Source organism: Homo sapiens, chromosome 3 (assembly GCF_000001405.40).
Source record: "Homo sapiens chromosome 3, GRCh38.p14 Primary Assembly".
NCBI lineage: Eukaryota > Metazoa > Chordata > Mammalia > Primates > Hominidae > Homo > Homo sapiens.
This window is the reverse complement of record NC_000003.12, coordinates 102,710,845-102,727,724: the sequence shown is the minus strand read 5'-3', so window position 1 is coordinate 102,727,724 and position 16,880 is coordinate 102,710,845. Positions and strand designations below refer to the sequence as shown.

Sequence of the window (16,880 nt, the reverse complement as noted above, 5' to 3'; positions counted from 1 at the left end):
ACTAACTCACAGGTTTCCAAAAAATGTATATATAATCCAAACAGCATATGTTTTGCTTTATGCTTTTCCCTGCTTCCATTAGAAATTCTTTTTCACAAAATAAATTATGATTTTTATCATTTTATTGAAAACAAATGACAAATCTCACAGTCCATGAGCCACGATATTTCACTAAAAAAAATTCCACTGGGTATGAGTCTTCCCCTAAGACATTTATCTTGAGCACCAATCAGCGTGACTCCACTTTCATCAAACCCACCATGCAGCAAAGCATAGTTCAATCTTACTCTTTTCTTTCTCCTTTTCCATACAAAGTAGGTTTCTTTTTATCCTGAAATGTAGAAGGCCAGAAAATAGAATACTCATTTATACCACAGAGAAAGCTTATTAAATATCTTCCCAAATATTATCTGTTAGGATAATAACTTCTTCCTATATCATTATACGATGAAGCCTAATTTAATTAAACTCTCTAAATATATAGAACTATATAACCCTATAGCTCTAATAGTATTAAAGGAAAGAAATAATAATAGCTAATAGTTAATGAATATTTATTATGTGCCAGGTATAATATTAATAGCTTTATATATATATATATATATATATATATATATATAAAAAAAATGCCATTTAGTCCTAAAAATAATCTTATGAGTTACATAAGAAGGTGGTGAAGATGAAATTTTACCCAGAGGCTCCAGTTCCAAAGCACAATTAATTACTTTACTAGAGTGTCTCAGCCAGTAACTGGACCCTCAGCTGTCTTCTAATTTAGTAGGTGATAGTAGCACAAAATTACATGGATTAACAAAGTAAATGTTTAATATCTAGCACTTCTACATAAGTTCTCTGCACCCTTGTACAGAAAAGTTGTTGAACTAGATAAGCAGTCGGGTTAGATAAGTACCAAAAAAGAAGACATGACAATTCATGTTATCTACAATATTTGTCATTAAAAGATAGTTTTTTTTTTCACTTCCTTATGCCATTTAACTAATATGTGACATCTTGCAATTAAGACAAGGACATGCTTTTAAATTGTCTTCTGTCTTTCAATTTCTGACATAATTCTTCACAAATGAAAAAATGTGTAACTATCAGAGAAGGAAAAGGATGGATGAAGACGAGTGGAGAGATGAAGACAATAGTGGAGTCAGGAGAAAGAAATAACAGTAAACATAAGCATAGTTATCATTTGTTCAACTATTTTCCTTAGACCATGCCCCTCCAGACCTTTATAATTTAGTCCCAGTCAAGCAAAGCAGTGCTTACAATTTTCAAAAGAAGAAATCATAATGTCCAAAGGATATTTGAAAAAAAATGTTTTTCTCACTTGTAATCAAGGGAACAAAATAACACATGAGATCCATTTTATATGAATCAGATTGGCCAAAAAATTGATAAATATTTAATAAGGCAAGGGTGTGGAGAAAACAGAAATTCTTAAACATTGGTAGGAACATAAATTAACACACTTATTATGGAGAACAATTTATGATTATCTAAAATTGAAAAGGCATAAACCCTATGAGCCAACATTTCCACGTATAATATACTATTGAGCAACACTCCCACAAAGGAACAAAGCTATGTGTATGAAACATTTTTGAAAAAATTGTTAGTAATAGTAAAAAATTAAAAACAAAATAGTCAACAGTTGTTACCTTCGATTTAGCAAATAGATATATTGTTCCTATGTGCTGGCCATATTCTGAAGTGTTGATAACTTCTTTGATCCTCATAGCAGCTCCATGATGTAAGTACAGTTATCATCTCCATTTTATAGATGAGGAAACCGAGATGCAGAGAGGTTTCCTGAAGGCTCAACAGCAATAAATACCATAGCAACAGCAAGGACGATGCTACGCTGCTTCCCATACATTAGAGAATTAAATAACTTGTAAGATATTATATATTATCAACAATAGATCTTGAAAACGCTGAAGAGAGAAAAGGCAAGTGTATTAGTCCATTTTCGTGCTGCTGATAAAGATGTACCCAAGACTGGGAAGGAAAAGAAGTTTAATTGGACTTACAGTACCACATGGCTGAGGAGGCCTCAGAATCATGGCAGGAGGCACAAGGCACTTCTTACATGGTGGCAGCAAGAGAAAAATAAGGAAGAAGCAAAAGTGGAAACCCCTGATAAACCCATCAGATCTCATGAGACTTATTCACTATCATGAGACTAGGATGGGAAAGACTGACCCCCATAATTCAATTACCTCCCACTGGGTCCCTCCCACAACATGTGGGAATTCTGAGAGTTACAATTCAAGTTGAGATTTGGGTGCGAACACAGCCAAACCATATCATTCCGTCCCTGGTCCCTCCCAAATCTCGTTTTCACATTTCAAAACCAATCATGCCTTCCCAACAGTCTCCCCAAATCTTAACTCATTTCAGTATTAACCCAAAGTCTACAGTCCATAGTCTCATCTGAGATAAGGCAAGTCTCTTCTGCATATAAACCTGTAAAATCAAAAGCAAGCTAGTAACTTCCTAGCTACAATGAGCGTATAGATATTGGGTAAATACAGCCATTCCAAATGGGAGAAATTGGCCAAAACAAAGGGGTTACAGAGTCCATGTAAGTCCAAAACCCAGCAAGGCAGTCAAATTTTAAAGCTCCAGAATGATCTCTTTTGACTCCAGGTCTCACATCCAGGTTATGCTGATACAAGAGGTGGGTTCCCACGGGCAGCTCCACCCCTGTGACTTTACAGGGTATAGCCCCCCTCCTGGCTGCTTTCATAGGCTGGCGTTGAGTGTCTGCGGCTTTTCCTAGTGCATAGAACAAACTGTAGGTGGATCTACCGTTCTGGGATCTGGAGGATGATAGCCCTCTTTTCACAGCTCCACTAGGTAGTGTCCCAGTGAGGACTCTGTGTGAGAGCTCTGACTCCACATTTCACTTCTGCACTGCCCTAGTAGAGGTTTTCCATGACGGCCCCGCCCTTCCAGCAAACCTTTGCCTGGGCATCCAGGTGTTTCCGTACATCTTCTGAAATCTAGGTGGAGGTTCGCAAACCTCAATTCTTGACTTCTGTGCACCCGAAGTCTCAACAGCACGTGAAAGCTGCCAAGGCTTGGGGCTCCCACCCTCTGAAGCCACAGCCCGAGCTGTACATTGGCTCATTTCAGCCACAGCTAGAGGGGCTGGGACACAGGGCACTAAGTCCCTAGGCTGCACACAGCACAGGGATGCTGGGCCCAGCCCACGAAATCACTTTTCCCTCTTGGGACTCTGGGCCTGTGAGGGAGGGGCTGCCATGAAGATCTCTGACATGACCTGGAGACATTTTCCCCGTGGTCTTGGCGGTTAACATTGGTCTCCTTGATACTTATGCAAATTTCCGCAGCCAGCTTTAATTTCTCCTCAGAAAATGGGTTTTTCTTTTCTATCACATTGTCAGGCTGCAAATTTTCCAAACTTTTATTCTCTGCTTCCCTTATAAAACTGAATGTCTTTAACAGTACCCAAGTTACCTCTTGAATGCTTTGCTGCTTAGAAATTTCTTCCACCAGATACCCTAAATCATCTCTCTCAGGTTCAAAGTTCCACAAATCTCTAGCGTGCAGGCAAAATGCCACCAGTCTCTTTGCTAACACCTAATAAGAGTCACTTTTGCTGCACTTCCCAACAAGTTCCTCATCTCCATCTGAGACCACCTCAGCCTTGTCTTTATTGTCCATATCGCTATAAGCATTTTGGGCAAAGCCATTCAACAAGTTTCTGGGAAGTTCCAAACTTTCCCACATTTTCCTGTCTTATTCTGAGCCCTCCAAACTGTTCCAACCTCTGAGTCGCTTCCACATTTTCTGGTATCTTTTCACCAGTGCCCCACTCTACTGGTACCAATTTACTGTAGTCCATTTTCATGCTGCTGATAAAGACATATCCGAGACTGGGAAGAAAAAGAGGTTTAATTGGACTTATAGTTCCACACATCTGGGGAGGCTTCAGAATCATGGCCCGAGGCAAAAGGCACTTTTTACATGGCAGCAGCAAGAGAAAAATGAGGAAGAATCAAAAGCAGAAGCCCCAGATAAGCCCATCAGATCTCGTGAGACTTATTCACTATCATGAGAAAAGCACAGGAAAGACCAGCCCCCCTAATTCAATTACTTCTCACTGGGTCCTTCCCACAACATGTGGGAATTCTGGGAGATGCAATTCAAGTTGAGATTTGAGTGGGGACATAACCAAATCATATCAGCAAGTTTCAGTATAACATATGCACTTTGATAACATCTGTGTAACAACTTGTGTAAGTTTTAAAAAATTTTAGGTGCATAAAATATTTTGTTGACATGTACATTCATAGATATAACTGCAAGAATTCATATTAAATTCATTAAATGGCTGATTCTGAAGAGGTGAGAATGGAAATAAGATTGGGGTTAGAAGACTAAGAAGCTTTCAAGTTTATATTTAATGTTGCACTAAAGAAAATGTTTAATGATATGTATGTTCTTGTATACTCCAATTTATTGATGAATATGAGACTCAGAACTTGTGACTTGCTCAAATACATGGAGTTACAAAACAGTAGAACTAGAAATCAAACTCATATTCTAAAGTGTTTTATTTAACTTTGGCCAACCAAGAGTTTGCTATATAGATATAAGCTATGTAAAAGTAGTTAGAAAAGAAGATTAATAATATGAAAATATAATCTCCATTTACCTCAAAAACTTTCCCTATCAATTTATCTATTATGTCATGCAACAATATATATAGAACAATGATTTCATACCAGCTATTATGTTTAAACGCTAGAAGTAGGTTGAGATTCTAGTGAAGTCTGAGTTCATGACTCCTGGTTTACAAAACCAGGGCTCTAACCACCATCAGCAAAGGGAGCTTTTAAAGCTAACAAATTGTTCATTGTTTGAGCTTCTGGAAGAAAAGTTTTATAAATCTGACAAGAAATTATCTTTACACATATCATTCCTTTTAATAGTGTAATAATAATTTCAAGCATTATTATTGCTATTACTGTCTGTAATTATGTAATAATTGTGATGCCTCATTTCTAACTCTCCAGAGAGAAGGGAAAAAAAATCCACTGGGAAGATGATGAGGGAGATTAAACCAAATGGTCTTGATAAATTTTCTATTGTAATTTTAAACAAAGCCCTAGATACCATCTGACTAATTGCAGATATTTCTGGAAAGCTTGAAGGTCTCCGAATAATTAGGTTGGGAAGAGGGAGGAAATCAGTTAGGAAGCTGATATCTCCCTGGACACTGTTAAAAACTGGCAACTGGCCTGCAGACCATGGTGGTGCTGACAGTGTGAGCACCAGGCAGCCCATCTTGGAGGCTAATTTCGTCTCAGAAGCAATGGTGTGTCCATTCCATTTGGTAAAGCATTTTGGCTGTGAGAAGCATTCTGAAATAAAAGGTTCATAGGGAGCGGAAAAAGGAAACTTGAAATTAAGTTTAAAATATATTTGTTATAATCTGTACAAACAACAGTTTTATGTGCACTAACCAAAATGCTCTGTCATTCTTCATCAGCAACCGTTACACTCCAATTCCGTGCTAAAGAGTAAAAAGGTGTCTGGGGAACTGATAAATCTTTATTTGCCTCATTAAGTCTGCTCAAAACAAAACAAAACCAAAGTTGATAAAGGCATCCTAAGAAGATCTGGCTATCATTATGATTTTCATCCAACAAAACAAATCTGACATAGTAAAAGGAGCATTAATAGAAGTGTTTTTAAATTTAAGAAATTTAAAATGATGAGATGATAATATCTATATTGGCAGAAGGCAAGATATATTTTAGCTGTAAGATCTAACAGGAAAACTGTTCTCCATCACCAAAATGCTTCATTTCTTTATTTGAAATTCTGAATTTCTTGCTTGGATCTATTTTTTTATTCCTGATGAGAATATTGATATCAGCTTTTATAACAGCCATAGAAGAATGATATAAAAATCTGGCTTTTATACTCAAAGGTTTCAATATGTGCTTTAGCCTACATTCTAGATTCTTCATGTTTCAATGTAGATGTATTAATTTTCTAGAGCTGCCATAGCCAACAGTCACAAAATGGGTGGCTTAAAACAACAGAAATGTATTCTGTCACAATTCTGGGGCTAGATGTCTGAAATCAAGATGTCAGTAAGGCCTTACTTCCTCTGGAGTCTTTAGGATAGACCCCTCCAATGCCTTTCCCCAGCACCTGGTAGCTGCCAGTAATCTTCAGCATCCCTTGGCTTACTGTTACATCACCCCAGGCTCTGCCTCCAACCTGGCATGGCATTTCTACCTCTGTGTATTTCCAAGTCTCCCTATCCTTAGAAGGACACTAATCATTGGATTTAGAGCCCACCCTAATCCATTATAACCTCATTTTAATTTGATTACATCTGTAAATAACCCATTTCCAAATAAACACACATCCGCAAATACCAGGAGTTATGACTTGAATGTATCTTTTTAGGGGACGCAACTCAACCCATTATAGTAAATTAAGTGCACATCTCATTCTCTGAATCTAGGAGGCAGAAACAGATGGGAAATTAGCTGTCAGAACAATAGTTACCTATTCAACTTAAAAAATAATAATAATAGGGTTACAAGGAAGAAAATCTTTCCATATGGTTAAACAAAACAAGAACAGACATACAATCCCATGAATCCTTGCATCCTACCTATAATAAAGGTGAATAGAAGTATGTACATGCAGGTCAAGCAGCAAGGTCCTAGCAGGTCTGAAATAGTATACTTAGACTATGGAAATAAATGTGGGGTATGGCAGTGGGGAATAGGAAGGAGACTGGAAGCTTCTCTTCACCTCCATCTTTCTTAGTAACATCATCAAAGAGGATATAACATTAAATTGTCTTCCTGTCTTTGGAAGCCTATTCTCCCTCTGTCACTCTTCAATGTGTTCTTTTATAGAATCCTACCCACATTCACAGCTGGTGCAGTGAGAAAGCCCCTAGTCTTTCCTTCTGTCAGAGGAGGCAACTTGCTACTCACTTCTACCCAACCAGACCCACATCTATGCATACCCACAAATCTGTACCTTACAAAATTAAACTACTGCCAGTTTGAAATAAAAGAGTATCTGGCAGTCTGCTCTAAGTCTTATAAAAAATTATTATTTTCTTTTTTCATTCTGTTTTTTCTTGCATTCAAAATTGTAGATCAAAAGAAAAAGACACTGGAAAGCTGCTTTGCCTACCTCTAGTGTCCTAAGGTTTGGCTCCACCAAAAGCTGAAGAAGCAATAACACCACTTGCCAATATTTACATAATGCTCATATGATGCTTGCAAACTTTACCAGGTACTCTTCTGAGTGTTTTAATATGTGGTAACTCACTTAGTCTGCTAAAATCTTTGAGGTGGATGCTCTATTATGCCCATTTCACAGAAAAAGAAACTGAGGAGCACAGAGGTTACATGTGCTGATCAAAGTCAAGCAACTAACAAGTGTCAGGATTGGGATTCCAGTTCTTTTTCTCTGGCTTCAGAATTCTTAAGTTCTTCTGAATTTTATTTTGTATTAAAGAAATAGTTCAGAGGAAATTCTTCAAATTCTGCATGGCAATACAATATCAGCTATCATTAATAAACTAATAAACATAACTGCCTCTTCCTGGATCTTTCCTGGGTGTTTATTTCCTCAGGAGATCTCATAGAAGATGCTATAGTAGCTGAAATTCAGTATTCCTGTTTCTGGGTATTTCTCAACCTCTTTACATGAGTGACCCAGCCAATAAGCTCCTTCATGTCATGTTGTAAATATCTGGGCACAGTTCTGCTCCAGACAATCTTACTTACTTGCATTTCCCACAAAGCCCCAAGATCCACAGACTACTGTTCTTTGTCCAAGCTGTCCTCTTCCCTTATAGGGTTCATCACCCTTTCCTACTAAGCCTTCTTAGCTAACTCGTACTCAGAATTCCAAGCTACATCTAAAGTATTACTTCCATATAAATTCATTTCCTGATCCCTTTCACAAGACTTAGGTTCAGTATAATTCTTCTCTCCTGTGACTCTGTTTGGACCTACAGCAGCAGGCATTCTTACCAGCCAAACATTAATTCTTTCTAATAGAATCTGGAAATTATTAAAGTAACCAACTCTGTCCAAAAATCTAGATACACAGGGAAAACTAACCCACCTCCAGCTCAAGAGATGTACTTGATTTTTCTAGAGTCAATCGCAGTTCTGTAAAGTCTTGTGACTCAAAGCCAACCAGATGTTAGAATAAATTTTTTGGGGTTTCTCCTATGAGTGCTTCTGGAACCAACATATCTTTTCTTCCTCTGGACATTGTTAGGCATAAAAGTAAATTCTAGAGCTAATGTAACCATTTCGTTACCAATTTAAAGATAGAGCTAAATCACAGAGGAGAAAAGAGACTGTAGAAATAGAGCTAAGGCCATTGATTAAGTCAACCCTGAAGCTGCTCAATTTCTGAACCTCCTACTATAAATGGCAATATATATTTTTTATTGCTTACTCCAGTTTGAAATGTGTTTTTCTTTTATTTCCATCTGAAAGCACTTGAAGGAGTACATTTACCAACCATTTTTTGCATACCTCTTTAAAATTACTTTTTAAATTGTTGAGCAATCAACCATGAGCTCCTTGAGATTAGGAATTATGTTTTTGTTCTTTCTGTATCCCCAGTACTTAATTCAGGTTTGGTACATGGTAAGAATTTAGTAAAAATTTAATAAATGAATGGCTAAGTGAAATTACCACTAACTATTCAATACATAAGAATTAACCTCAAAAGCATAGACAGCAAAACCAAAAATAGACCAATGAGACTATGTTAAACTAAAATGCTTCTACACAGCAAAGGAAACAAATGAGTGAAGATACAACCTCTTAAATGGGAGAAAATATTCACAAATGATTAATCTGACAAGCGACTAATATCAAGAATATGCAAGGAACTTAAACAACTCAACAGTTAAAAAAACCAAAGAAAGAAACACATAATCCAATTAAAAAGGGTCAAAAGACATGAATAGACATTTCTCAAAAGAAGACATACGAATGGCCAAAAAATATATAGATGCTCAACATTACTAATCATCAGGGAAATGCAAATCAAAACCATGATGAGATATTATTTTACCCCAATTAAAATAGTTATTATTAAAAATACAAAATATAACAGATGTCGGTGAGGATGAAAGAAAAGGGAATTCAAACGCTATTGGGAATGTAAACTGGTACAGCTACTATAAAAAACATTATGAAGATTTCTCAAAAAACTAAAAATATAACTGTCACATAATCCATCAATTTCACTACTATTTATCCAAAGGAAAAGAAGTCTGTGTATCAGAGGAACACTTGCACTTGCATATTTATTGCAGCACTGTTCACAATGACAAAGATGTAAAATCAATCTAAGTGTCCACAAAAGGATGAATGTACTTTTTTAAAAATATGGTATATATACACAATGTAATACTATTCAGCCAAAGAAAAGAATGAAACCTTGTCATTTGCAGCAGCATAGATGGAACTGGAGGTCATTATGTTAAATGAAATAAACCAAGAATAAAAAGATAAATATTGTATGTTCTCATCTATATATAGAAGCTTAAAAATTTGATCTTATGGAGGTAAAGAGTGGAATGATGGATACAGAGGCCTAGAAGTGTGTGTGGGTGGTAGTAATGAATGAAATGAAGTTGGTTAATGGGTACAAACATACAGTTTGATAGGCTATAAATTCTAATGTACAATAGCAGAGTACAGTGAGTATAGTTAGGAGCAATGTGTTGTATATTACAAAGTAGCTAGAAAAGAGGACTCAAAAATGTTCTCAACACATAAAAATGATAAATGCTGGAGGTGATGGATATACTAAATGCCCTGACTTAATCATTACACATTCTGCATGTAACACTCACATGTACCCTATCAATGTATAAAATACGATGTATCAATAAAAAAGAATGATTATAATGTATTCTGTAAGAAAAACAGAGCCAAATTGTAAGAATTAGTATGTTAATTAAATAATTTTGAAGACAGAGTTTTAAAAATAGGCCCTCTTCTACTTTAGTCATGGAAAATTCTACCTCTATCTCAGACCGCTGTTCTAGCAGTATGTTGAAAGGCACATAAGTTAGCTGTAATTGCAGGTGCAACTGATAAGACAACTGATAAAATAACAGATGTCCCACAATAAACTAAGGTGCAATACAAACATTTAGAACTTACAAAAGCAAATTGTGGAAACAGTTTTGTGATCTTAGATGACCATTGCCTTAGCCTAAATGGAGATTGGAGAGAAAAGGAAACTAACTAGAAATTTCAGGAGAACTTTTCAAAAGAGTTGTTGGGGTATTATGAATCTCATTCTCTTCTAAGGGTAAAGATGATAGAGTGCATTTCATCCCTTTACCTAAATTCTAGAGAGAGCTTTCAGGGGTATGGACAGTCAAGCTTATTATACTCTGCCTGCACTTTGGAAGACATTGAAGACCAGTGACGAGCTCATACTTTCCAGATCTGAGGAGTGAGATGCACTTGGCTAGCTAACTAGCTGAGTAAGGAGCAAAGAAGAGCTAGCTGCTGCAACTGAAATTAGTCTGCGCTTTCAGGGTTTATCCAGGCAAAGAATGAGCCACACCAGAGAAGGAAATTTACGTGGGTCTGCCTGGAGAAGTAACTGGAATTCAAGGGTGAAATTCCCATTTCACCCAAAGTAAAAGCCAAAGTATTTACAATAGTATACATAATCTGGGTTTTCCCTTCCACATCCCTCCCTTTTCTCCTTGTCATCCTACCCCTCTCCCTTCCTCAACCCTATAGTCTCCCTTGTGCTTTAGGGGATTTTCACAGGATATTTACTATTTCAGCCATCCACAGGGCACACACTGTGACTTCCTCCAAGCCTTTAAAAAATGTCAGTGTATCAGTTAGCTATGGATAACCACAAATTTTGGTGGTTTAAAGCAATGACAGTTTGTTTTTCATCATGATTATGTGGGTTGGCTACTTGTCTTCTTGTCCATGCCTGCTCAACTGAAGCTCGGTGGTCTACAATTACTCTTGGTTGGAAGTCTTTAGCCTCAGCTAGAACCTGAGCTGAAAGGGTTTGGAAAGCTGAAAGTTTTACCTCCAGCTGGGCTGTCATCTTCCAGAATGCAAAATGAGATTTCTTTACTTGGTGGCAGAGAATTCCCCAGCAGCAAGAGAGGATGAAACCCCAAAACACAAGCAATTTTTATGCCTTTGCTTTGTTTTAATATTTTTTGTGTTTGTTTGTTTGTTTGTTTTTTGAGACGGAGTCTCACTCTGTCGCCCAGGCTGGAGTGCAGTGGCGCAATCTCGGCTCACTGCAAGCTCCGCCTCCCGGGTTAACATAATTCTCCTGCCTCAGCCTCCCGAGTAGCTGGGACTACAGGCGCCTGCCACCACGGCCGGCTAAGTTTTTGTATTTTTAGTAGACACAGGGTTTCACCATGTTAGCCAGGATGGTTGTTTTGATTTTTAATGTATATTACCCTAAGCGATCACATGTCCAAGCCCATATTCAAGGGATGGAAAGTGAGTTTCCACCCTTTGAGCAGCAAACCCACATTGCAAAGGGTGAGCATGTAGGAATGGGAGAAGCTGCAACCTACCTTCTCAATAAGAACTACAGTGATCACCCCACTTAAAATTTTGACTTAGTCCCACAAAAGCATTCCCAATCCTCTTTAATCTGCTTTATTAATTCTTATTCCCAGAGTATATGTCACTTTCTAACATATTATGTTAGCTACTTATTAATTATGTCTATTATTTATTGTTTTGTCTCCTCCTTTAAAATATATATTTCCAAATTGGAAATCTTTTTTCGCTAATCCACTTAGAAGAGTTTCTGACACATAATGGGTGCTCAATAAATATTATTTAAAAATATAAATGAAATATTCATCAACAATTTGAAGCCAATGAGAACCTCATATTCAGCCAGAGAAAGTACTTCATTCACATCAAAGAGACTGCAGATATAAAATTCCCAACAATGGGCCTGGGTGGGAATGGTTCCTGAAGAATCAATTAAAACTATTCTAAGAGATAAAATTGCATCTTAAAATAAGTAAAGCAAAACAACAATAGTCTGTGAGTCAGGCACCAATTCATGATAGTATTAGTCACCTGTTCATTTTTCTGTCTCTAGGGTTAGAAGCATAAGTCAGTGGAAGACAGAAGAGGCCAATCTGCTTCTCCATCAACCCATTAGGCAATGACAAAACTGCAACAATACTGAGCTGAGAAAAGGGAAGTAGCTGCAACTTAAATAATCTTCGAACTTTTAATTCTTACATGAAATGAGACCTATGAACTGCTGAGCAAGGTTGTGTTAAACCATTGTGTTAAAATGACAAGAAACATGTTTTCCTTAAATTTCATCTAGGAGAAAGGGAAATACTGGTCCCATCGAATAAATTAAAAAAACAGCAGTGGGGGATGGGAATAAAGTGCAGCCCACAAGCCATACCAAACATCATAGTGATACTGCCTTTTCAAAAGTGATAGTTGCAGTTGCAAAATGAGTGACTCATTGTGTGTTCATAGGAACACCTTTTACATGGTGGAAAGGAATGTTTATCAGCAATATGAAAGAAAAGAGCTGAGGTTTAATGAATATATGTGAGGGGATGGGAGCAGTTAATGAATTATTTCATAAAATCTTTCCCAGATGCTATGAACTAAGTATGATTATCATTCTTTTATATATAAGGAAGTCAAAGCGCAAAGAAAATTAATGACTTGCTGCAGTTCAAATGGTTAGGAAGTGGCAGAGCTTGGCTTGAAACCGGGTTCTCACTGATTCTAAACTCCATACTCTTCTATTTTAAACCACTGCTTCCAGACTGAAGCGGGATCAGATATAAATCCTCTACTCAATTACTTTATAATTTTGCAATATCATAAGACCCTGGAGAGCATTCGTAAATCACTACAATACAAGGCCTTAAGTGCTTTAGGAGAGGTTCTGGAAAGTCAGAAGAGGAAGAAATTACTTCCAGCTGAGGATCAGGGAAAACTTCCCAGAGGAAATTGAATTTTAATTTAATCTCATAATTATGACAGAGCTGAAGCTCTGGTTGGTGTTCCTAGTCTTCTTTCCTATCTTTGAGAAATGAGTCATATTTACATTTTTTTAAATATTTAAATAATTGATAAGTGTTCAACTAAATCAAAAGTAACTCAAGTCTTCTTTGTCTTTCTCTTCCTAAATTTATCTTTCACACACAGAAAAAAAAATGTAAGTGAAAAAAGAAGTAAGTAGACTCCCTACCCTCTATATGTTTGTATATAAGACACATCCATTCTTAAAGCAGTTTGGTCTCTCATTTACTATTGAAGTTATCTAAAAATGAGCATGAGTACCTAAATCATTATAAATTTTCTTAATTCATGTTTACGTATGTTTTGACAAATATATTTGTTATTTCTAGCATTTTCTTCATTCTAAATCTGTAAGCTGTTTAACATGCTAAATTGCCTATATTAATTATATTCTCACAAGCTAGAGAAAAAAGTAAATATCTAATAAACCTCACTACATATATCATAAACTATGATATTCAGAGTCCAAATGTCAAAAAGCATATAGTTAAGCATGAAACTTGAAATGATTAAAAATTATACAGTAAAACAAGCATTTTATTTTGCCTAAAAATACATATTTAATGATACAAATGACAATAATCATTTTTATAATTATATACTACAACATTATAAGTTAATACATAAGAATAATGGTGCAAATTTATGTCACATCAAAAATAAATTTGTAACTTGCATCACTTTTTATTAATCAAGAACCTCAGAGCCCGCTATGGAATACTAGATCAACTCTGTTCTATGTAAATTGATTAAACACAGAATCCAAAATTCTGTTTAGCCAACCTAACTCTCCTCAAGAGGCTAATGCATCTGGGTCTTAAATTGAGCCCAGCTGAGCAATGAGGATCAGATGAATTCAACACTTCAGCTTTGCCCAATTCGTATCCAGTCCATAAATGTGATTTATAAATCACATTAATGAAGATTTACTTCTTCAACCAGATTAATTAAGTAGAATAAGGAAAACATTTAACAGTTACTGTGTACAGATATTTTGCATATATTATTTCATTAAACTTATGCATGATAAAGCTGGGCTTTAAACATACATAGTCTGTCCTAGAGCTAAGCACTTAACTACCATCCTATGGGTCTATGATAGCTAAGCCTTTACATGAATTTAAAAAATGATTGATTCTACAATTTGCAAGATTTTGCAATTCTTATTTTAATATATGTAACATAGTTTGAAAATGTACAAAAAGTGATGGAGGATTTTCAACCAGAGCTAATGATTCACCCTGGATCCCTTTGAATTTCAACATTGCTTCATATTTAAGAGCCTTTCCAATAGTTTACATTAAACCTATTGCCTTAATTCATGTAGTGATAAAACCAGATTTTCTTTCTCACTTTCCCTTCTTTGTACTTTTATAGATCCACAATTGCCAATGCAAGACTGAGAACGATGTGATATTCAGAGCCCACAAAAAAGCATTACCCCACTCCAACCACAGGGCTCCTCCCAGCCTTGTCAATGTGCCATTCATGGCCCGTAATGACTTCCTCTCTCCATCTCCACCAGTACTTCTAGAGGTTCAACTTTCATCAACACCTGCAACGAGCCCCTTCCCCGTATTACATGAGTCGCAATGACTGTTCAGTGATATCACTGTCCCTGTCATATGCAGTTTGTGGGCTGCTGCTGGAGTAATTTTGCTGCCACTTTGCTAACTTAACTCATCCATTCACCCAGTGTTTTACGCCTCCAGGACACCCCAACTACTGTTTCAACAAACACTCTCATACTTACCCCTATATGGACCTTTGTAGTAATTTCTTTGAGATGCAGACCCAGGAATGAAGTTGCAGGGCCATAGTATATGTGCCTATATAATTTGACTAATTAAGCACTAGAATGCATCCCACAGTATATGTGCCTATATAATTTGACTAATGAAGCACTAGAATACAAGAAGTACATGAAAATTCTCACTGTCTATTTTTATTCTTGCTTCTAACTTAATATCTATACTTACTGGTTTCCCCGTATTTTTCATTGGTTTCTTAAATATAGCAATATTTGTACTTTGCAAGTTCACACCATTTTCATCTTTTGTTGTCTCCCAGCTTCAAAACAGTGTTGATGCTATTTAGAATTTACATATTTTGCTTCATCCATGCTTTGAAAAATTATTATAATATCCTCAAAATGTGGGGCCCAACATCATATATTCCTTATATATTTATGCATCTTCTTATTTCAATACATTCTTCAAGAGTTTCTCAAAGTGATTCTTTATATGGTCAATATTCTGAAGGTTGATTGAATCTAACGTCCTTAGTTTTCAAATGTAATTACAATGTTAAGAAGCCTGGGATCAATCTAAATATTTTTCCTTGGTAGGTATGCTCATTCTCTGGAAGCATTTCCATTTCTCTTCATTGTTCTAGAATTTAATTGTAATATGTCTAAGTAATAATAATAGCTAATAATTAACAAGTGATTATGTGCAAGGCACTATTCTAGGGGTTTTACATATATTAACTTATTTTATCCTCTCAATAATATTTTAAGATAGACATTTTATTATCCCGATTTTAGTGATGAGTAAACTTTAGTCCCAAAAGTTTATCTTATGTGTCATTTCAAATAAGAGATCTGGTATTTTTCTTTATTTCTGGGATATTAATAATCTTTATTTTTTTTAATATGTCTTTTCTTTGCCCCTTCTGCCCACCACCACCACCACAATCTTTTTTCTGAGAATCCAAGTAACTGGATGTTCGCATTTTTTATTTCTATTTTCCAAGTCTTTTAGTTTATTGTAATGTTTTCTCTAATTTTATGTTTTTCTGTTATCTTCTGAAAGTGTTCAATATAATCTTCTGACAAACTAATTCTTTCTTCAGCTGAATCTTTTGGGTCTTCAGATCTTTTTTTTTTTTTTAACTATTATAGTTCTCATACTTACTATCTCCACTTGATTCATTCTTATGACTTCTTCCACATTTTAACTTTTCTTTTTTTTTGAGATGGAGTCTCACTGTGCTGCCAAGGCTGGAGTACAGTGGTGTGATCTCAGCTCACTGCAACCTCAGCCTCCTGGGTTCAAGTGATTCTACTGCCTCAGCCTCCCAAGTAGCTGGGATTACAGGCTCACACGACTATGCCCGGCTACTTTTTGTATTTTTAGTTGAGACAGGGTTCTACCATGTTGGCCAGGCTGGTCTCAAACTCCAGACCTCAGGTGATCCATCCACCTTGGCCTCCGAAAGTGCTGGGATTACAGGTGTGAGCCACTGCACTCAGCCATTACCAACTTTCTTTTTCCTTAGAGTATTTCGGTTAAACTTATTTTATATTCTTAGTCCATCTTTTCCAATAATTCTCTTTCATATGATATTATTTTTAGCTTGCCACCTTCCTTTTAAAGATTATTGTCCCTAGTATCTAGAAGTTTTATCCCCCATGAGCTCATGACACTACCTGATAATATAAATTAGGGAAGAGCCTACACTGTATTTCCGCTTTTGAGTTTAATCACAAAGAGGATGAGACTAAATGGGGAGCCTTGAAGTACCAAAACCTGTCCCCATTACGTCTGTGCCACTCCACCAACAAATCTCCTGAATCATATTTTTCAAGATGGTGCAGTCTTTTTAAAACAAAATCTATTAGCTCTAGCATTTGAAGAGAATTTATAAGATCCCTGATAGCTGGCATCTGTTTTATTAGTGTCCCACACTAGCAGAGACTTTGCAGACCCAAATATTACCTTCCTGGCATTTCGAGGTCCAGGCTATTGCTAC

The 16,880-nt window shown here is 36.3% G+C and overlaps 1 long non-coding RNA gene across 3 annotated transcripts; it reads right to left on the bottom strand.

Moving 5' to 3' along the window:
- Nucleotides 1–104: 104 nt before the first annotated feature.
- On the bottom strand, nucleotides 105–16,880 carry LOC105374017 (uncharacterized). Of its 3 annotated transcripts, none has more exons than XR_924293.3 (3): nucleotides 16,847–16,880; nucleotides 1,668–1,943; nucleotides 105–331 (listed from the first exon to the last, which is right to left on the bottom strand). It is a non-coding gene; the product is annotated as an uncharacterized LOC105374017 (long non-coding RNA). The 3 variants fall into 3 exon arrangements; XR_924295.2 differs by lacking the exon at nucleotides 16,847–16,880 and adding an exon at nucleotides 15,107–15,569; XR_924294.2 differs by lacking the exon at nucleotides 16,847–16,880 and adding an exon at nucleotides 14,881–15,097.